The sequence below is a fragment of the Homo sapiens genome, chromosome 1, assembly GCF_000001405.40.
Source record: "Homo sapiens chromosome 1, GRCh38.p14 Primary Assembly".
In the NCBI taxonomy this organism is placed as follows: Eukaryota; Metazoa; Chordata; class Mammalia; order Primates; family Hominidae; genus Homo; species Homo sapiens.
Genome location: NC_000001.11, coordinates 15,057,690 through 15,079,392, shown reverse-complemented (window position 1 = coordinate 15,079,392; position 21,703 = coordinate 15,057,690). Strand labels below are relative to the sequence as shown.

At 51.9% G+C, this 21,703-nt stretch overlaps 1 protein-coding gene across 22 annotated transcripts in view, besides 3 other annotated features; it reads right to left on the bottom strand.

The window, feature by feature from the left end:
* Positions 1-21,703, bottom strand: part of KAZN (kazrin, periplakin interacting protein) — a 1,225,220-nt gene that overhangs the window by 38,651 nt on the left and 1,164,866 nt on the right. For 9 of the 22 annotated variants that reach the window (XM_011541074.4, XM_005245795.6, XM_011541080.4 and 6 more), the window contains 3 exons: positions 19,091-19,221; positions 15,771-15,821; positions 13,640-13,763 (listed from right to left, as the gene is read on the bottom strand). In XM_011541074.4, the coding sequence (XP_011539376.1) occupies positions 13,640-13,763; positions 15,771-15,821; positions 19,091-19,221 (306 nt within the window). Of the gene's footprint in view, positions 1-11,237; positions 13,764-15,468; positions 15,668-15,770; positions 15,822-19,090; positions 19,222-21,703 lie in introns of those variants that run through there. The other 13 variants (NM_015209.3, NM_001437721.1, NM_001370229.2 and 10 more) reach the window with 6 other exon arrangements.
* Positions 14,556-15,755: an enhancer, noted in NCBI's record as "CDK7 strongly-dependent group 2 enhancer chr1:15390134-15391333 (GRCh37/hg19 assembly coordinates)". NCBI's record gives its function as "activates an origin of replication core promoter dependent on BRD2, BRD4, P300/CBP, MED14 and CDK7 cofactors, with strong dependence on CDK7, by STARR-seq in HCT116 cells {active_cell/tissue: HCT116}" and the evidence as "EXISTENCE:reporter gene assay evidence [ECO:0000049][PMID:35650434]".
* Positions 18,586-19,086: an enhancer, noted in NCBI's record as "H3K4me1 hESC enhancer chr1:15386803-15387303 (GRCh37/hg19 assembly coordinates)". NCBI's record gives its function as "activates a minimal SCP1, AML or CMV promoter by ChIP-STARR-seq in primed H9 embryonic stem cells {active_cell/tissue: H9 hESC(primed)}" and the evidence as "EXISTENCE:reporter gene assay evidence [ECO:0000049][PMID:30033119]".
* Positions 19,087-19,587: an enhancer, noted in NCBI's record as "H3K4me1 hESC enhancer chr1:15386302-15386802 (GRCh37/hg19 assembly coordinates)". NCBI's record gives its function as "activates a minimal SCP1, AML or CMV promoter by ChIP-STARR-seq in naive and primed H9 embryonic stem cells {active_cell/tissue: H9 hESC(naive and primed)}" and the evidence as "EXISTENCE:reporter gene assay evidence [ECO:0000049][PMID:30033119]".

The following is a 21,703-nucleotide window of genomic DNA, read 5'->3' as shown; positions in this document are numbered from 1 at the left end:
CGACTAGTTATTACTTTAATAATTAATTAACTGGATTAATTCACTCCCTAGCTAGATTTTCACCAATTTTGCCTCTTTGGCTTGAATGAGCCCCCTCCCTGGCAAGCAGTTCCTCCTTAGGCCTCCAGACAACCTAGGTTCTTTCTGGCTCAGCTGAGCCTCTTCCACAGGCGCCTATGGACACTGGGCATTGTGACGGCTGGGAGACCCTGCCTGGTGAATCCTTGCCTATTTGCACACCGGGACAGGAACTCACCACTGAGCCAGATGCCAAGCCTCTAGACCAGGGTGAGGTGATTGGAGGTGCTGTCTTCTATGTGACTATCTTGCATGATTCATGCAAACTGTCCCACCTCCGATCTCCCTCAAAAAGCTTTGCAACTGCCTCCCGGGAGTTTCTTAAGCCAGTGGTGAGCGGCTTTCACTATGCATTGCACAAAGGCCAGTTTAGGAACAGCAAACACATTTACGAGCAGCATTGATTTAATTTCCTTCAGAACGAAGACAGCTTTGATGAGGTCCTTGGTGGGGGGAATTCTTGCAACTTAGACACCTATAGGAGAATGGCAAGGGGAACACTGGCACCAGTTTTGGCTTTTCCAATCATGCCTCATGAAACGTTCTAACTGGAGGTCCCGTAGCGGCAGCTGAGAGGAACAGCATGCGCGCTGCAGACCGATGCCCTTCTAGAATCTGTTAATATGTTCAGCCAGAGCCACAGCATGGGGCAAAGGATCCTAGGAGGTTTCTTCCCATTTTGTGAATTAATCTTCTCTCCCTTTGTAGGTGACCTTTAATCGTGATCCCTGCTCCCCGCCTTGTCTGCCTCCCTCCAGCCCTTGAATTCTGGAAATTAGAGAACAAAGCCTTATCCTAACAGCTCACAGTTTAATCAGCTTCAATCATATCTGCCTGGAAAGCAGTGTCGTGCAGTCTGTTGGACCCCAATTCTTGGCCTCGTTCCATCACTTTATTTTTTATTTTTTTTGAGATGGAGTCTCGCTGTGTTGCCCAGGCTGGAGTACAGTGGCACGATCTCGGCTCACTGCAACATCCGCTTCCTAGGTTCAAGCGATTCTCCTTCCTCAGCCCCCCGAGTAGCTGTGATTACAGGCACGCACCACCATGCCCAGCTAATTTTTGTATTTTTAGTAGAGATGGAATTGGCCAGGCTGGTCTCGAACTCCCAGCCTCAAGTAATCTGCCCACCTTGGCCTCCTAAAGTGCTGGGATTACAGGCATGAACCACCGCATCCAGCACATCACTTATTTTGTCTCTTAGGGCTATGTATGTTACTTCTCTGAGCCTCAGTTTCCTCACCAAATTTCTTACGTGACTTTGGTGAGGATGATGTTAGGATAATTTATCTCATCATCCACATCTGCATCCTCAGCCCTAAGCCCTAAACCTGGCATATAGGAAACATTCAGTCAGTGTTCGTTGAAAGACTTAATGAGTGTACATCAAATGCCTACCCCATGCCTGGCACAGTAGGCACTTAGTAAATGTCAGCAAGTCATATTAGCTTTCCTCACACCCCCTGCTACCTCTCCTGCTCCCATGAAGCCAGTCTTTGTCCCCATTCCTCATTCTGAGCCCCTGTCCGCATCCCTGGGAGGCCTGCAGCTGCTTTTCATGCTGATAACTGCGCAGCCTCCTGGGATTTCTTGGATAATACGGAGTCACCCTATTGTCAGGCCCATCAACATCTTCACCTGAAGGTGAAACCCCCAACCCCCATCTCTGAGTCCCAGAGACTCCGGTAGTGACTATAAAAAACAACTGAGTCACGTGGCTGCAAGCAGCTGACCTGGTCCTGTGTAGCCCTTGCGGAGGAGCGGTGGAGCTCAGGATTCCTGCAGTGACTCAAGGCCTCCGAGGGCAGTGCTGAGCGAAGACCCCTTTTCCCTTCTCCACTGCCACTCCCCAAACACTCTAAGTCTTGGGAACACTTCTCTGGGTTGAGAAACAAGCGTGGAGCCCTGCTGCCTGGCCGTCAGGGAGTGGAGGACAGGAGGGCCCTCCAGTGAAGGAGGATGGTGGTGAATTGAGATGGGCGCCTACAGCCAGGCAGGCCCGGGGACTCCACACGCAGGGGAAGACCAGGGACTGTCAGAGCACGAGGTGTCCACAGAGAGAGAATCTAGACTGGAGGTGACAGAGCTGTTGGCCCTGAGACAAATTAGGGCCTTGGAAATTTTCCCCCAATGGACACTAAATTAAAAAAAAATTAGTTGTCAATATGAAAGACTTGGGGTGTATTATGTGAGATATTTGGCTTCTCTAGAAGATCTGGAGCTCTGGAAACACCAGGCTGGCATTGCTCCGAGCAGCCTCGCTGGAGTGAGCAGAGCTGCTTCCTTTTGCTACAGCACGTGCTGGCCCCACGTGGCCACGTCACTGACCCGCCTATCTGCAGGGTCCCCACAGGCCTCTGAGTTTGTGGCGTAGTTGAAATGAGGCGAGTAAGTGTCCAGCCCAATGCTGGCAACTGAGAGAGCCCACAAGGTGGGTCCTTGTCATTGTCACCCTAATATATGTTTGCAGTGGGTGCTGATCTAAAACAGCAGGTGGTGACCGTAATTCCAGCTTGCTCGCGAGGCAGTGCAGTCGTGACGGCTAATGTTTGCCTGGTGCTTTACAACTAGTAAGCATGAGCTCATTGCATCCTCCCCAGAGAGGGGGACTCAAGATTCCCAGGGGCCCATTTTACAGATGAGAAAAGTGGAGCTCAGAAAAGCCAATCAATTGTGTGCAGAGGGCACAGCCCAGACTCAGGGCCTGGGTTCCTGCTCTGAAGCAGAGATTTTCTGTCACGTGGGCCTCTGCAGCCCTGAAAGAAGCAGCTGGGGTGTCTTGGATGCGTCTCTCCATTTACTATTTTATCTTTGCAACAGCCAATATGTTTTATCTCCATTTCAAAGAGGGGGAAACTGAGGCTCAAAGGGACTCGGTGTTGCACAGCTGGCATGTGCCGATGCTGGGATTGAGCCTCAGGATCTAGCTCCGAAGCCGAGGCCTTTCCTCAAGCCCCTCCCTGTAGGAGGCCGATCAATTCTGCTGGGCTCAGGCTGTCACTAAGATGAGTTTGTTTCTTGCACACATGTGAAAAGATGCAAGGAATTTGGAATTGGCTCACACACTCAAGCTGCCATCAGTGACCCGGGACTGTTACCTCTAACCCTCCATTTGGGGACAGGCCCTCAAGTTCCTCCTGGCTTGTCTCAAGTCTCCTCCTTGCCACCACAGCTCTGGTGCCCACAGTGACAGCTGTCAGAGGCTGCTTCCTTCCCTCCTGGTCCACATGCCCTGGCCACAGGCTCCACACCGCCTCCACAGACATCAGCCTCCTAATAAGGAAGGAAGCTGGCCTAGTATAGCACGGATCCAATTTGGATGTGACTCTGACATCTCTGGCCTGTCCCAGGGAAAGGAATTAGGCAGCTCAGAGCCACCAAAGGGTGATGAAGTGCTCTGGAGGGCAGGTGGGGCCAGACACCCTGGCAGCATGGACATGCCCATCCCCTGGGTCCCTGTGCCAACAGACTCAGCCCCTCTGTCTATATCTAGGACCTAGGAGAGCAGGAAAATAATGAACACCCTGGGACCGGCATTTCCAAGCCAATCTGTCGGGCTCTTCTGCCTCATGTGGGTGCTGTGCACTGCTTTGGGTCCTTTCTTAGCAAAGTGGATGCTGAGATAGAGGGGCTGTGACTACACCTGACCTGGTGTCTGTCACCTCCCTTCTGGAGGCCCATAGGGATGTCATATGAGCCACAGAGACTTCTCATGGCTAAATAATGGTGGCATGCTTAGAGATCGCCACAGAACCACTGACAGCGCCCTCAAAGCACAGAATAGTGGAGCTGAAGGGCCCGAAGAAGTCATCTGTCCCAATAGTTTCCAGTCGGTGATCCACCGAATGAGAGTAAAAGGTGTGGTTCTGTGGTCACGTAAGTTTGGGAAACACTAGATGGGTAAAGGTAGAAGATTTTCTTTCATTGCAGAACTTGTCAGAGCCTTAATAAGTGAAAGGGTTGTGCTGATCTATAAGGGGTGGAGATATGATGCAGTGTTTCCAAAACTTACTGACCCAGGGATTTTTTTCCCCCTAGTTGAGTCTTATGGTTGGAGGCAGCTCAAAGCACTGGCCAGGAAGGCAGGAGCCCTGGGTTCCAGAACCAGTTCAGACACTGATGCCCTGCTGGGCTGTGGTCAAGCACCCTCCCATCTGCAATATGAGGGGAGTGGACTAGAGACCACTGACACCCCTCTCAGCTCCCAAACTCTTGCTCCCTCTGGTCCTATTCTGGGCTGGCCCCTGCAGCTTGGGCTAATTGCTGAACTTACCTGGGCCTCAGTCTTCTCATCTGTACAAAGGGCCCTGTCCTGCCTACCTCACAGGGCCGGCGAGAGGCTGAAATGAGATCACCATTGCCATTGTCATCATCACGGTCATCATCATGGTGGCTAAGGTTTATTGCGCCCTGTGCTAAGCCTTGTATACATATTGGCCTGTTTCATCCCTGCAGCCACACTCTGACCTAGTATCTTTTCACCCCTATTGTCCCCATGAAGAAACGAAGGCACAGCAGGTGAAGTCCTTTGCCTAAGGTTACCAGGTAACAAGCGTCAGGACTGAGGTTGAAACCCAGGGAGTTTGCCCAGGATGTAATCTCTTAACCCTGACCCCCATCTCCCCGTGAAAGAGTGTCGTGAACTGTAAATCGCTGTGACCTGGGGAGGCGTTGCTCAATGCAGTTGTCCTGTGGTTCGTGGGGGACATTCATGGCCTTGGCCTTGTCTTATAGACTTCCAGAAGGGGAGCCAGGGGCCCCATTTTCCTATTTCCTGTTCTACCAGGGTTAAGGAGGGTCTCATACTGCCCCTCACTGATAGGGAGGAGGGGTGAGCAGGGAAGCCGGGGGACACCCATGAGGAGTGACTCCTTCACCAGGCTGGTGCCCCTCTCCCTTCCTGATCACAGCCCAGAGACCCCTGGAGGAGCTTGGAGATGATGTGCCCCCTGGTTTTCTCACATACTGCCTCTCAGCTGCAGAGATGCTGCAGACCCGTCATTCACACCTATTTCAACAAGCCGAATACACTGGAGTTTAGGGCTAAAGGGCAGGGAGGCGGATGGCAGGGAGGGACCCTCCAACACGGTGGCTGCAGCCTCTCCCTTGCCGACCGCCTTCTGAGGCACATCCAGGGACTTCTCAGATTTCACAGGCCACAGGTGGAAAACCACTGTCCTGGTCTGTTTTAGAGACAGCTTAAGGCCCAGAGAGGGAGACCAGCTTGGCTGTGGTCACACAGCGAGTCCTTGACCAACCTGAACACTGGGAGTCCAGAGCCGGGCTCAGGGGCCCTGAAGGCGCTGGGCTGGGGGTGGTGGGGCTTCTGGGTGAAGAAGACTGGGCCTCCTCAGGAGCCCAAGGGCAGGGGTGGGCAGAGGCCTGCAGGCCCCTCTGTAGCAGCTCCACATCTGACCACTTCCCAGAGTGCAGCAGCTTGGGCTGACTTGCCCCCAGTTTAGGGCTCATGGTCTGGTGTCCATGGGATATCACTGGCCCCAGACCGAGGCCAGCAGGTCCACCGGACAGAAGTCTCAGTCAGACACAGGTCAGGAGGAGTCGGATGGACCTCAGGCTCAGAACTCAGATCTCACTCAGGTTTGACTCCTGCTTCTGCCACTTCCTGGCTATGCATCTCTCGGAGACTCGGGGAACCTCTCTGTGCCTGCAGTGTGGGTGCTGCTGCAGGCTTCTGAGGCTGGCCTGGGGCGTCAGATACTCCAGAGTGCCCGTCCCCTCTGCTCAGCGGGGCCTAGAAAGGCCCCAAGCAGCAGGTTGCCTGGGGGGCAGCTTGGGGTCTGGCTTGGGTAAGTTTCCTCCCTTACTGGGGGGACCCTGGGGTTGCCCCAGGAAGGTGGCCTCAACCTACCTTGTGATGGCCCTGGCGAGTCTGCCCTCCAACCCACGGGCACTACGCTGCCACCCTCAGTCTCTGCCCCATGTGACCTCCTGCGACTGAGCCCACACCAGGCAGCTTGTTCAATACGCACACAGCTCCCAGGGCCTCGGCCTTAGACCCTTTGGTTCGGTAGCTACAGGATGGGGCCTGGGAATGGATATCTTTAAAACCCAAAGCTAGGTCAGGTTTGACAACCACTGATCTCCTTGTGCTTCTCAAACCTCCTCTCTTCCTCTTTCCTTCTCACTCACTCTACCATGGGACCTTTCACGTGGACTCGTACACGGAAGTCCAGTGTGTAACAGGTAAGTGCAGAGCCACTGGCTGAGGGTAGGCTGGAGCCCTGCCTGCTGATTCTTTCGCCAGCTATGGCAACCCCTTGAGGGACTGCTGAGGAACCCCTTCGGGGTTCCATGGAACACAGTTTGCAAACCCCATATTTTGCCGGTCTCTTCCTCTTCTGGATTAAGGAGTTGAATCCTAAAAAGCTGGCCTACTCAGCGCCCGGCCTCATCCTACTAATGAGGCTTGCATTCTGATGTTCTCTGAAGCTTTCTATTGCTCAGCAGGCCCTGAGAGGGGGCTTGGGGCCAGTGGGTGACCTGAGACTACACAGCAAAGTTACCAAGAACATGGACTCTGGAGCCAGACTGCTAGAGGTGAATCCCAGTTCCACCTCTTCCTAGGTGTGTGACTCCAGTCAAGAACTTCACCTCTCTGCGCCTTGGTTTGTTCATCTGTAAACTGGGGATGACATGTATTTTGGAGAGTTGCTGGAAGGATTATACGAGTGAGTGTCTGGAAAGAGCTTAGAACAGTGCTTGGCACAAAGAAAATACTGCATAAGTGAGGCAGCCCTGACTTCCAGACCAGGCTGGCCCTGGGTTCTGAGAGCAGCGTCTAAGTGTTTCTACTCAGACCTCAGAAAGACAGAATGCTGTCAGAGCTGGTGGATTCTAGGGGCAAATAACTCAAACCCTCCCTGTTCTGAGGCAGAGCAGCCCAGATTCTTTTCTGTAGCAGTGCTGGAACTGCATTTGCACTCTGAGGGCTGGTGTTCACAGACCCTGGCAGATGGAGGAACTTCACACACACAGCCCGATGCCCTGATTTTACCCCAGGGACAAGTTTTGATTTGAGGCACTGTCAGGCTCAAGATGTGTTACAAATCACAGAGAATAGTAATCATGGGGCCAGCCCTTTTCAGACTCCAAAAACACATTCAGTTCTCATTTCTGAACCTACGAGGAGGGGAGGGTAATTACACCCATTTTACAGATGAGTACACTGAGGTTCATAGGTTAAACAACTTGCTTAGAATCAGATGTGGGGCCAGAACTGGGAGCGATTATCCAGGTATGACAGGGAAGCCATTGGTGGGCTACAAGGGTCCTCTGGATGGGGGCAAAAATGACTTCCCGAAGGCAAATCTTCCGTTGAGGATTCTGGAAGCAAGGCACGCAATTTTATAGGTTCTCTTGTATTGGTGCGATTAACAGCTACTTACTGGTAACCATTAAGAAAGCAACAAGGAATTTTCAAAACCTAAAACTCAGAAATGCAAACAAGCTACCAGCCAGTGTTTTCTGTGATCCAGAAGCATGGTTTCTGTACACAGCCTGGCAACGTCACAAGGCCTTGCAAGGCACGTGCTAGGTCATCAGAGGTCCTGCCATTTTCAGGATGAATAGGCCAAGATTTCCCCTTGCTGCTATTCTTGGATCAATCCTGTTGGGATCATTTTCTCAAGGATTCAGTTTGTTGCCCTATAGAGTACCGTGCTGCATATTTGCATATTTTCCAGCCACGGGACTTTGAGACATCATCCAATTGTGGTTCAGGTATGAAATATCCATACCCAGGCTGGGTGCGGTGGCTCACACTTGTAATTCCAGCACTTTGGGAGGCCAAGGTGGGTGGATCACCTGAGGTCAGGCGTTCAAAATCAGCCTGGCCAACATGGCAAACTCCCGTCTCTACTAAAAACAACACAAAAAGTAGCCGGGTGTGGTGATGCATGCTTGTAGTCCCAGCTACTAGGGAGGCTGAGGTGGGAGAATCGCTTGAACCCAGGAGGCAAAGGTTGCAGTGAGCCGAGATCGCGCCACTGCACTCCAGCCTGGGCGACAGAGTGAGACTCTGCCTCAAAAAAGAAAAAAAAAGAAAAATAAAAAGAGAAATATCCATATCCTATTTGCCATCCCAGACTTATACCCTCAATTTGCCCACAGGGGGACATTTTAGTGACATGCCATAACTTTGATATTTAAATAACTTCTAACATACGAACTGCTAAGATATTTGTAAGTTTGGGGGCATTATTTTGTAATGCAGAATTACGAATATACTCTTTTATAAAGAATAAGCTGATACATGTTCCCTATTCATTCTTCATTATCACCAGGTTCTGTAACCACTGGAAAATGGGAACAGGTGGGGGCCAGGGACCGGGGCATATTTTGCCCCGCCCAGTGGAGTCCAACTGGAAAAAGCCTAGGAGCCATCTGGGGTGTCTGGGAAAATGCAAGTTTTTGGGGAAAACCCAGAGATATTTTATTTATTCATTTATAAATAATAGACAGGGTCTCACTCTGTCGCCCAGGCTGGAGTGCAGTGGCTCGATCTCGGCTCATTGCAGCCTCGACATCCCGAGCTCAAGAGATGCTTCAGCCTCAGCCTCCTGAGTAGCTGGGACTACAGGCGTGTGCCACCACACTTGGCTAACTTTTGGCCCAGAGGTATTTTAAAAATCATTTTGTCAAACGACTGATGTCCCCCACGGTTCAGGCTCACTCTGCCTGGATTCCCCAGGAGCCCAGGTTGAGTGACGGGCACGATACCGTTTGTCACAGGTGCGGGGCGGCTCCTGGACCGCAGGCTCATGCTGTGGCGGGGAAGGGTGCCACAGAGCTCCCCAGGTGTTGGGGGCTGCACTACCCCTCAGGATCTGCAGCTCTGGTACAGCCAGGGGTTGGACTGCAGGGCCAGTGGAGGTGATTCTGCTCCTGACTTAGCCAGGAAGAGGAAGGGAGAGCTGGTGCTGGACAGCAGCCGGTTTCTGCTCTGATTCCCCCGCTGATTCCTCTCTAGGGGTGAGCTTTCTGGGCCTGCGGGGAAAAGGCTGATGGAAACAGACTGAGTCACAAAAGTGAGGCAGTGCAAAGCTGTGTCAGAGGCTACTGGTGGGCAAGGGGCCTTGAAACCAGGCCCAGATGATGCACTGAAGATGCCCCCCTGGGAGAAGGCCCAGCTGCTTGGCGGCAGCCCCTCACTGCTCAGACGGTGGAGTGGTTCAGGGCACAAACTCTGTAGCCAAAACTCCATAGTTTGAGGCCCACTTCTATTGTCTCCCAGCTCCATGACCTCAGATGAGTTACTCAACGTCTGTTTTCTCATCAATGACAGGCTGTTGGGAGGGTTAACTGAGTTAATATGTGTAAAGTGCATAGCATGGACCCTGGCCTGTGGTAAATGCCTAATCAATGTTAGATATTATTATTATTGTTATTATTGGTTACAGCTGTTTTAGCCTGCAACGTGGGTAGGAGGAGCACACAGACGGGCCACTGAGTACAGTCATGCAGCTTGTGTATTGAAAAACCAGGACACCATTCACGTGGTAGCCTGGAGAATGGCACCTTCTGGAGTAATGCAGTGCCCAACCTGTGCAGCTGGCCCTGGATGCCCTGGGCAGCCCTACTCCAATTTCTAATAGGTACCATTTGAAGTTGGACCATTTGGAGCAAGGTCCTGGAGAAGATTCTTTTTTAAATATTTATTTATTTTTTTGAGACAGAGTCTCGCTCTGTCACCCAGGTTGGAGCGCAGTGGCGCGATCTCGGCTCACTGCAAGCTCCAACTCCCGGGTTCATGCCATTCTCCTGCCTCAGCTTCCCTGGAGAAGATTCTTTTAAAAAAGGAGGTACGGTGGCTTTTGAGTAGAGCTACAAAGACCCAAATAAGGTATGGCCTGGCTCTTGAGAAGGTCCCAGGATGAGAGGCACGATAGCTAGGACGCTGGCCAAGTCATTCCTCTCTGGGCCAAAGTTTTTGCCATATGTCCCGCATGAGAGACGGGGTTAGTTTTGAGAGGGCAAAAAGGCTTTATCCTTGTATGCCAACTCTGATTGACTGGCTGTGGCTATCTGAGGCTATGTAAAGTGAGAAATCAGAGGCCACTTCGGGATGGGCAGGAAGGGCTCTTCAATTGATTGGTGATGTCTGCATGGGGCCAGGGAGAGGGGAGTAGGGGCATGCGTGTGGCCACACTTGCCCTCCTCAGATCAGCTCAGTGGTTCTAATCCTGGCAACCCTTTAGAATCACCAGAGGAGATTTAAATACACTTCAATTCCAGGAATATGGCCTGGAATGAGTATTTTTTTTTTTCCCTAAGGTGTGGTCAGGCTGAGAACTGCTGGGGTAGATGGCCCTAAGTTCCTTGTCACCCAGGGCTTTCCTGGCCTTCCCAATCCTACCACATCCATTTGCATCCTCACTGGGGGCTCATTTTCACCTCGGCATCGTGTCTGTATTACATAGCTTTATGCTGCAGAGGTGGGAGGGGACTTAAAAGCCAGCCCTCCATCAGTCTTATTGCCGGGGAAAATTTTTTTTCAGTTGGGAGATATAGAGATTGAGGGTACTGACTATGTCAGGCTTTGGGGTAACCCGGGTACCCTCTTCTCGGGACATACAGTGGAGTCTCGCTGGGGGAGGCCTGAGTTTTGTATCTGGGGGGTTCTCTTGGGGCTAGGAAAAGCCTGGCTCACTCTGGCTTCAATCAAGGAAGCCTGTGGCTCCCTCTCTATCTCCCTGAAGCTCCTCTCGGTCCTCCAGGGAGGGTGGGATCGTGGGACGCGCAGAGGTCCACGGAGGTCTGCGGGAAGTAACACGCCCCAAAGCACAGGCTCCTTTGGGGCCTCTGGAAGGAGCTCAGGGGGAGAAGGAAGCAGACGAAAGCTGACTGGGGCCACTAAGCTCCACAATGCAGGGTGCCAGGTCGGGGGTGGTGCGTTTGGACCACAGGGTAGCCCTCCAAATTACAGTCAGGGCGGCAGAGGCGAGATGCTTCTGGGAGGCTACCCCGGCTCGGCCCCTCCAAGGGCCCCGAATCCAGCCAGCTTTCCTCGGCCCCTCCCATCCCCCCTCCCAGAACCCAGCCCTGGAAGTCCAAGGAGCAGGTCATGCCAGCCTGTGCCTCCCAGAGGGGCAGAGCCTCCCACCCGGAGCCAAATAGAAGCAATCAAATAACATAGAATTCGATCATATTTTAAAATAAGCTTTATTTAGATTTTTTTTAATATTTTATATTTGCATCCATGCCTTCGAGAAACCTTTCCCACGGGAAAGGTTATTTTCGTCTAATGTTACCCATAACTCATTCGCTATTTGACGTAGTTCTCTTAAATAAATCATCCTTTAGTAACTCTTAGAATTATCTCCTAATTTACAAAAACTGAAATGAAAAGGAACTACTAAATCATTAGCAGGAGTGGTTGCAATCTTATTTTCTTGTAAGTAAAGGGAAAATGATAAAAATCAACCAGAAAAGAAATTCATGGGCAAGAAAAGTATTTTCTAAAATCTGTCTCCGTAGAGAAAGATGCCAGCTTGGGTCGCTCCCCGTCACCCCTAGGCTCGGTTAAACAGTTTGGTCAAAGGAGGACAGAAAAGTCCTTATGAGGGCCTCTGCCTGCTTGCTGTTTGCTGACTTTTGGACCAGGTCAGAAGGAAAGTGTTGTTTGTTCTTGAGACTTTGGACACAATGTCCTATGCCTTCTGATAGAGATACTCTAGCATTTGAAAATCTCCTTGCTTCTTTTTAAGAGCTGAAAATGTCACCGTTAGCAGAAAGCACGACTACTGTTGTCTAGAGGTGTGGGTTGAGCTGTTAGTTGTTAAGGACGAGCAGAAGCAAAAGAATAAGGAAATTGAGTTTTAGGCCTTGGGCAGACCTTGCTGAACAGCTCACACATCCTCCGTCCCCTGGCATTAAAATACACACAGTTCCTTTGCTGGTGAAGCCTCTTTGGGGCCAACGCCACCCCCCATATAGGCAGATGTTCCTGCCAGCTCTTGTCTCCTGGGGTGGGTAGGCTCAGGCTGCTGTGACAAGTTGGGGGACGGAGTCCAAGGGATCCTGGGAGATTCTAAGTGTGGCTGATGGAACCAACCAGAATGGGGAGGGTGGAGGGCTCAGGTGCTGGACTCTGTGTCCCCACTGTGGCCCTCCTTTTGAAGTGGGTGCCTCCCCTAACAACACCTGCCTGGCCCACCTGCATCCTAAACCCAGGACAAGAAAGACACAGCTGCAGGGAGGAACAGAAGCTGCTGGAGGCCCCTCGGAGAACAGACTCAGGCCAGGGTCCCACTGGTCGTACCCTTGGATGTGTGGCAGGCTGTCTTGCCCTGAACTCAACCTCTCTCAAAAGACAGACCCAAAGAAGGGGACCATGACTGTCAGCACTCTGCTCACTAAAGTCGTGTTCTGTATGTCAGATAAATAAATATATAGAGAAAGGCCTGGAGGGAGCTCTGGGTGGGAAGAAGGTGGAGGATCCTTTCATGCATGGGCAGGAGAATGGGAGAGACAGAGAGAGAAGGAGAGAGAAGAACCAACAGAAAAAGCAAGCTTTGAAATCCAATGGTCCCTGGGTTCTGGCCACCCTAAACTACTTTGCACAGTTGGGTAGCAGCATGGTAACAGAACAGACAAGTCAACAGAGACACCCACCTCCCGCCCACCCCATGGAAAAATAGACATTCCAATATTTATGTAATAATTTAGATAGAATAAGTTTTCAGCATTTGTGCAAATAAATTAAATGAAACAATTTTCTTTTTTTCTTTTTTTTCATAAAGAAAGAAACGGCAATGCAATTTAAAAACTGGTAGGCCGTTTAAAAGAGCCGGTTTGACCTCTGACAAACCCAGCCAAGACAAGGCCCCTTGGCCCGGCTCGCGAGTCTTTGTAGAGAGCAGAGCTTACCCTGACGACGATGGCGTTTTGTGGTTAAAGTGACTTGGGCGCACCCCCAGGACAGGGTCTGGTCCCACACGTTCACACCAGGGGGGCGGGAGGGGGGACATCAAAAACAGACCACATCCTCTGCCAGACGGGCTCCAGGAGTAGCGGTTTGGACGAGGGACATTTACAAGCACAGAGTGCACAATAGTTTTGTTATTTACAAATACACAGCAGTCCTTCAAGTTTTCAAGTTTCATAAAAAGGAGGAGGGGAGGAGAAAGGGGGAAAAAAACAAAAACAAAAACAAACCGACGAACCAAACAAAAAGAAAAAGAAAAACCAAACACTGAAGAAAAATAATAAACCAGATTAACAACACAACTGTATCGCTCCAAAGACGACAGAGAGTTGACAGGTTCACACACGGTTTGCGGTATGTACATCAATTACAGAGGTGGCGACGCAGGGGAGAGAGGTTCACACTCGTGTTTTCACTTGTTAGAGGCGCTCGGCCACACCCAGCACCCATGTGTGCCAGCGCACACGTGCACACGCACCCCACGCACGGCCACACGCGCACCCACGCTCGCTTGCACACACGCCCACACGCACAGACACGCCTGCGGGCAGCAGGCGCAGGGGAGCGCGTATCACCAGTCCGCGTCCTCCTCTATGTAATAATCAGGGGCGGTACCATCAAAGAGGCCGGGGTCGAGGGACTTCCGCTGCTTCCCTCTGGCGAAGACGCGGGAGATGGAGCCGAATCCCATCTTCTCTTTCTTCTTTTTCCGTTTTTGGTCTTCAAGATCCTCTAGTGACTGAGGAGTCAGGAGCCACGTGGAAGAGGGTGGGGGAGAAGAAGAAAGCCAAGCTTAGCTGGGGTGCAGACTGCAGTGGATGGGATCCGGGGTGGGGAAGGCCTCTCTGAGCTTTAAGCCAGTGGGGTCAGGGACGGGCTGGGATGGCTGAGAAGCCACCTCCAGGGCTGGAATGCCAAGGTCAGCCCCTCATTCACTGAGCAAACAGGGACCAGTCACAGAACCTCTCAGGGACAACAGTAAGACCCTTCCAAGATTGCCACGAGGATGTTGCTAAAGAGAGGATAAAGACCCTGAGAACAGGCCAGGCACGGTGGCTCACACCTGTAATCCCAGCACTTTGGGAAGCCCAGGCGGGTGGATCACCTGGGGTCGGGAGTTCGAGACCAGCCTGGCAAACATGGTGAAACCCTGTCTCTACTAAAAATACAAAATTAGCCGGATGTGGTGATAGGCACCTGTCATCCCAGCTACTTGAGAGGCTAAGGCAGGAGAATCACTTGAACCCAGGAGGAGGTTGTGGTGAGCCAGGATCGCGCCACTGCACTGCAGCCTGGGCGACAGAGTGAGACTCCGTCTCAAAAAAAAAAAAAAAAAAAAAAGAAAGAAAAAGACCCCAAGGACGGTGTCTGGTGTGCCACAGGCATTCAGTACAGTGAGCAGCTGTGGTCATTTGTACTGTAATAATATTGTTTAAATTCAATTTGCCCACAACTTTCAGGTGCTTGTTGAGGGCTTGTAGGAGGATGTCCATGCACTCGGCCACTGCCTGTGGTCATGTCCACGATGCGAGGCCACAGGGAGGAAGGGTGGCCACAGGCCCTGTCTGCCGTGCCAGGGCACTAAGCACACAGTGACATGGGCAAGGAGGCCTGGGAGAGTCCGGAAAATGTGGAGGAGTCTGGAGCCTGCGTCAGCCGAAGGCAATGGCTTGGTACTTGCCCTGGACAGGAGACAGTATGGCCACCGGGGGCTCCATTTCTGATCATGACTCTACCTGTGGAACCCTGGAAAGCACCTGAGCTGCTCTGAGACGTTTTCTTGTCTGTGACGTGGGAAAACAATATAAGATGATGGTGGTAAGGTCTACCCTGCCCTCCTGTTAGGGACACTACCGGCATCTGGGTGGTATCTGCAGGAGAGTTTTGCAAACTGCCAAGTGCTTCATACAAAGACATGTGGTGGCATCATGCGTAACCGGGGTGGGGCTTAGACTTGACTCATGGTTCCCCAAACACTTAGGGATTTCCTGAATTCCAGGCCCCACCCTGTACCTGGTGGATCAGAATCTCTAGGGCAAATGGCCCAGGAATCTGCATTTGAACCACTTCCCTGGTGGTCTCCGTTGCGAATGGGTGGTGTGCAGACCCACAGGTGGGGAGCCCAGGACTAGAAAGGTGACTTCAGAGACCCCTGCAGACCCTCAAATTCATGTTGTTTGTCCTCCCTGCAGCCCCCTCCTCACTCTGATGACAGAATATTGAAAATGTTAAAAATGAATCAAGTTTCTAGCAGCACAAAAAACCCACTGCCTGGGCTATGAGCTTTTCAATAATAATGGGAATTTTATAGAGCTGGCTGCCAGGGTAAGCCATGGCCAGGGCATCAGGACGGAGGACATGTGTGCACTCAGCAGCTCCACAGCCCTGCAGGGCACAGGGCCAGGCGGGCCCAGGTGCTGAGACTGGCTCAGGCCCCAGCCCACCTGAGACTCCAGAAGTGGCATAAATCCTCTCCATCTTGGGTGTGCGGCATGGATGTGGGCTCAGCGGAAGTGGCATAAATCCTCTCCGCCTTGGGTGTGCGGCATGGATGTGGGCTCAGCGGAAGTGGCATAAATCCTCTCCGCCTTGGGTGTGCAGTATGGACGTGGGCTCAGCGGAAGTGGCATAAATCCTCTCCACCTTGGGTGTGCGGCATGGATGTGGGCTCAGGGGAACAGAGGGTGAAGTTGTAGTCAAGGTGGGGTGGAGGGAGGGTTCAAGTGGCCAGGGAGGGCACACCTACCTGTACAATAGGGTTGTGCAGGTTCTTCTGAACTGGGCCGGGACTGTCGCCCTGTAGCCAGAGGAGAAGAGGAAGATGAAACAGCAGAGACAGGTGACACAGGAGAGCAGAGGCGGCCCGTGCGGTGTGGGGCCTTCCGTGGAAGGATGCCATCTCTCAGGGGCCACCCTGCCTCTGCAGTGGGGAGCCCACCCCCCATCTCCTGAAGCAGATACCCCCAGATGGCTTATTGATGGGGCCTGGAGTTTCCCTAGAGTTCCTGGGGTCCTCTCCTGCCCAGTCTGGCCTCTCAACCCCCAGCATCTTCTGACCAACAAATTAGCCACTCCAGGGCGTCTAAGTTCCTGTCCCAGTCTGTCCTCTGAGTTAGAGCTAGAGCTTGGTTAGACTTGGTGCTTTTCATAAAGAAATGTACTTTTATAGAAAAAGCACAAAATAGAGAATTTTGGGACAGAAACAAACTTGGGAGACCACGTAGCCTCTAGCTTCCCCCACAACCGACACAATGAATCTCTTAGTTTGCGCAGGGGCAGGCAGGACTCGTTAGCCCTATTCACAGATATCAAGAGAGGCAGCAGACAGTCCACTACCGTGGAGCTAATTGGATGCAGAGCTACAGCTCCAATTGGGGGCTGTCAGATTCCTCCTGGCACAGTGCTCCTTCCAGGCAGGAGCTCCAGGGTAACTGCATACTTGGTCCTGAGCTTTGGGCTGCCCCAGGAGGGGTCTGAACTCCTTCCCTTTTTCCTAGGGAGCCTCAGACGACAGGTCCCTAGGATGGGCAGGTAGGACATTTCCATTGTGTTGCCAGCCCTGCCTTACGTGGGTGTGGAGGGAACCCTTAATAGCCTACAGGTGTACAAAAGCCTTCACTACATCCCAGAATCAGTCTGCCCTGTCTGGAGCCCACAGATCCTTTGGATCAAAACAGTCATTACTAGGGAGACTCCTGGTGGTTATTTCTGGAATTGCAAGCATAATGCCAAGGTCCGTCAACCTTCTCCAACCTCTCTATGCTGAGTTCCTACTTTTGCTCTAAATTAGTGGCCAGAGTGTGAGAGGATGAGGCAGTCATTAGTCCAGGCTGCACTATTCTTGCTGGTGGACGTCAGATGCCCAAGGCAAAGGGTTACCTGTAGCTATTTTTGGGCTCTTCCTGGCTTACCTGCATGCACACCTGTTGAGATGGGGGGATAAAAAGGGTTGAGGAAGTGAGGGAATTAATGAATGGTAGTTTAGTCTTTAGTCTCAAGGTTTGCAAACAGAATCCATTCTGAAGGCAGCTAAGATAGTTCCACTCTGGATAGGAACATCTTTGCCAAATCTATGGGTAAAGAGAATGGGGCCTGCTCACTGAAACGCCTGTATGCAGACAACTGGCTTATCAAAGCACCCATTTCCTGGCAGCAGGAATGTGCCAAGGCTATGGTGGGCAAAAGACTAGGACTGGGTCAAATGCAATTCAAGAGGCCTTTGGAGAACTCCTTCTGCAGAATGGGGTTTTTCCAGCAGCATTTCTGCTGCCAGAGTCCCCATGGGCCCACCACGAGAAGACAAAATATGGCCGTGGGGGGAAGGTATTCTCAACTGGGATGAGAATGGTGCAGGGACACTGCTGGCTGTAGGTATAACTCCACAGTGGTCCTTCAGGATCAGGGAATGGATGTCAGAGACCCCTCCAGTGGCCCACCTTCCTTGCCTTGGTTCTGTTAGTCAAGATAGACTTTGTCACTAGGATTCTCTTCTGGGGACAAGAGAAGAACATACTGCTTCCTCAAAGCACCAGTATAAAACAGAGAATCCCGCCAGGTGCAGTGGCTCATGTCTATAATCCCAGCACTTTGGGAGACTGAGGTGGGCAGATCGCCTGAGGTCAGGAGTTGAAGACCAGCCTGGCCAACATGGTGAAATCTCATCTCTACTAAAAATACAAAAATTAGCCGGGTGTGATGGCAGGCATCTGTAATGCCAGCTGCTCGGGAGGCTGAGGCAGGAGAATTGTTTGAGCCTGGAAGGTGTTGGTTGCAGTGAGCTGAGACTGCGTCACTGCACTCCATCCTGGGTGACAAGAGTGAAACTCCATCACACACACATACAAATAAATAAAATAAAACAATAAAAAAGAGAATCCCAGGCCTGAGCAGGGCCCCAGGCTGCAAATGACCTTCCTACTCTGAGGAGGCCATCTAAAGTCCCCGGGCCAGCAATCTCTGCCGCCCACCTGAGCAGACTGAGGCAGCTTCTCTGAAGTTTACTCTTAGCTATTTTTATAAGCACTTTTCATTATTGTGGATTGAAAAAAATGGTTCCATAATTACGACTCATCTATAGGAAAGTGATTGATTTTTACACACTGATTTCCAAGCAACACTGTTATGTACATGCTTATTATTCATTCTAATAGCTTTTCAAGTTATTCTCTTGAGTTCTCCAGGTAGAGAATCATGTCACTGGCAAGTAATGGTTTTGTCCAATGTGTTCACCTCATTTCTTTTTTATTATCTATTTCGCTGGTTAATAAAGTGACATTAACTGAGTTTTGGAAAAAGCCGTCTCGTGCATTTGAGGATCTAACCCTATGATGTCTGTCTTCAGGATATGGCAGAGGGGAGCCTCTGCATTACCAACTGTGTGATAAAACAAAAATTCAAGGTGGTCCCCACACCCAGACCCCAATATTTCATGTTAGAGCCTCGACATGGCTTCCAACTGTCCTCAGAAGCTCAACCCACCTTCAATTTACTCCCACACTGTTGCAGAGCCCATCTGTCTGCCCCACTAGTCATCAAGAGCTAGGCAGCTAGGGCCTTTGCCTCCTGGGAGCTGGTGCCCAGTATGCAATCAAAAAGTGTTTGATGAAATAAACAAAGGAAACAAACTTAGACCATATTCACAAGCCTCTCCAGAGGCAATTCATGCCAAGACTCCTGGGTCAGGATAGAGAGCTGGCTCTAAAGGGAAATGAGGAGGTGCTGGGGAGGCCCTGAGCTCTGGAAGGTAATGTGTGGGAGGAGAAGCCCACGGTCCCAGACAGGGCCCACTGGGGCAGAGTTCCAGGCTGTGCCTGCGGCCGACCCAGGCCCGCTTCCTCTGGATTCTCCTCACCCTCCCGGACACAAGGAGCAAACGGGCCTCATTCCTTTTTCTCCCCACATCCATCGCTTCTTGCAAAAGGAAAGAACAGAACAGGAAATGCATTCGCCAGAGTGCTCCCTGGGTGGACGAGAGGAAACAGCGAGTATGGCTTCACCCCGCCACCCCCGCCCCTGCAGTTTCTGGGCAGGGCCCAGGGGCCCAGGCCCCGCTGCTGCTGGCCTTACGTTGCAGAGGGAGTGTGTCCGGTGTCGAGGGGAGTTGATGTCGCTCGGTGTGGACGACCGGTCGCCTTCGGCGGCAGATGCGTCGGAGATGACAGAGGGCTGCCGGGAGTGGCAGGGGCTCACCCTGACCGCTGGAAAGCAGGGACAGCTGGTGAGTGAGGGATGGAGAGAACGTCCTCGCCTGTGCTGCCTTGGCGGTTATTCCACCCAACACCCCCGTTCTACAGATGGGAACACTGAGGTGTAGAGAAGGGAAGAGACTTGCCTGGTTCTCCAACCCCCTACTCCACAGCTCCACACGTTCCCATAGAGCAGCTGCTGGGAAGAACCTCCCATAGCCTCTGGATCCAATGAACCCTCCTCCACCAGCGTGAACGAGGAGAAGACATGGAAGTTTTCAAGTCTTCTCATTCCAAATTCAAGTCTCCTCGTTTCCAAGTCCAATACAGGAAAGTGCTTGATGTTTATAAATTCATTTCTAAGCAGCACCGTGATGCATTAATACGTGAGTACTCTGTGACTCTACTCACATGCTCCCACCACCTGGACATTCCTAGACCTGGTGCAATCCTAACCACTGCCCCAAATCGGTTTCCCAAATGAGAAACCTAAAGGCCACCACCACTTTCTCTCTTTCCCCCATATCCCACATCCAATCGGCAGCAGCAGCTCCAAAACATTGCCCCAAATCTGCCTGCTTCTCTCCCACTGCATTGCCACCACTGACTCTCGCCTGGAAGACCATGAGGCCTCCCGGTGGGTCGCGCTGACTCCACTCTACACACCAGAGCATGGGCCACCAGCCAGCATCTCATCTCTCTTCCTCCTGGCCTCCGAGGTGGCCTGATGTGCCACGGCCCTGCCTACCCCAGCAGCCTCGGCTAGAGCCACATCAGCCTTCTGACTGCCTGAGACAGGCCATGTCCCCCTGCCTTGGTCTCTGCCATTCCTGTTGCCCATCAGGGGCACTGTCATCCTCCAGGTCTCAGCCTGTCCCAGGAGGCCTTCCCCAGTAATCAGCTCTCCCTACCCTGTCTTGTTGGTTCTTATCAAAGTGCTTGCTTTTGGCTGGGCATGGTGGCTCATGCCTGTAGTCTCAGCACTTCGGGAGGCGGAAGAGGGAGGACTGCTTGAGCCCAGGACTTCGAAACCAGCCTGGGCAACACAGCAAGACTCCATCTCTCCAAAAAAAAAAAAAAAGTGCCTGTTTTCTGTTGATTTCTCTCCTTGTGCTAATTACAATCTGTCATCGTTCTGCTTGTTATTTATTTATTTATTTTTGAGACAGGGTCTTGCTCTGTTGCCCAGGCTGGAGTGCAGTGGTGTGTTCTTTGCTCGCCACAACCTCTGCTTCCCGGGTTCAAGTGATTCTCCTGCCTCAGCCTCCCGAGTAGCTGGGATTACAGGCATCTGCCACCACCAAGTCCAGCGAATTTTTGTATTTTTAGTAGAGACAGGATTTCACTATGCTGGCCAGGCTGGTCTCGAACTCCTGACCTCGTGATCTGTCCACCTCAGCCTCCCAAAGTGCTGGGCTTACAGGCGTGAGCCACTGCATCTGGCCTGCTTGTTATTTAATAGTATATTTACATATCATATCTGTACACTGACAACATCTGCTCTGTGAGGGCAGGTACCCTGGGTGTCTTATCCTGTCGAATCCCAGAGCTCATGGTGCCTGGCACATAATAGGTACTCAATAAATAGTGGTTGAATGGAAGGTCCAGACCAGAAGCCACAGCTCAGAAGCCCTTCCAAGTCCCCAGCAGGTTGCTCTCCTGTCTGCAGGCATTGGCACTGGATGGAGAAAGCATCTTTTGTTTGACAAGACTGGCTAAGCACCTACCATGTGCAGGCGGCATGCCAGCAGGTGGGGTTGCATTCCTGCAAAAGACAGTCCTTGCCACCAATGGCCATATGCTCTAATACAGAAGATGGGTGGCTGAAGGAGCCCTGGCTTTGGAGTCAATTCCAATCTGGGTGAGTTTACCCTACAGGCTGTGTGACCTTGGGCATCCTCCCTAGCCCCTCTGAGCCAGGTTTGTTATGTGTAACATGGGGATGGATGCCAGTGGTACCAATCCCAGACAGTAGCCACATGTATGATGAGCCTACCACAGTGCCAGGCACTGGACAGATGGGAGGAGTCATGTGACAAATGCATCAACAGCAAACCCGAGGTAGGGTAAGAGGTGCTATGACGCAGGTGAGCACCCAACTTTACAGGAGCATAGAGGACACAGGGGAGAGAGCACGGAAGGCTTCCTGGAGGAGGGGGTGTCTGATAAAATGCATGGAGATGGTTGTATGTGAGGCAGATACTGTGGAGGAGGAAGGGCCCAGAGGGCAGATCCACCAGCCTGTCCAAGCTTTCCCAGACCAGAGCCAGCTCCATTGAGGAGAGGCCCTGCAGAGGCAGACGAGGATGACCAGGAGTCTGCTGCCCCCACGTGATTCAGAAACTGCCCAAGCCCTGTCTGCCTTCAAATTGCACCTCTGCCCTCCTGCTGCCCTGGGGCTGGACCCAAAGCCAGGACAGCTGGCTGCATGGCTGGGCTGTGAGACTCTGAACAAGTGGTGGCCCTCTCTGGGTCTCAGTTTCCCTGCCTGACG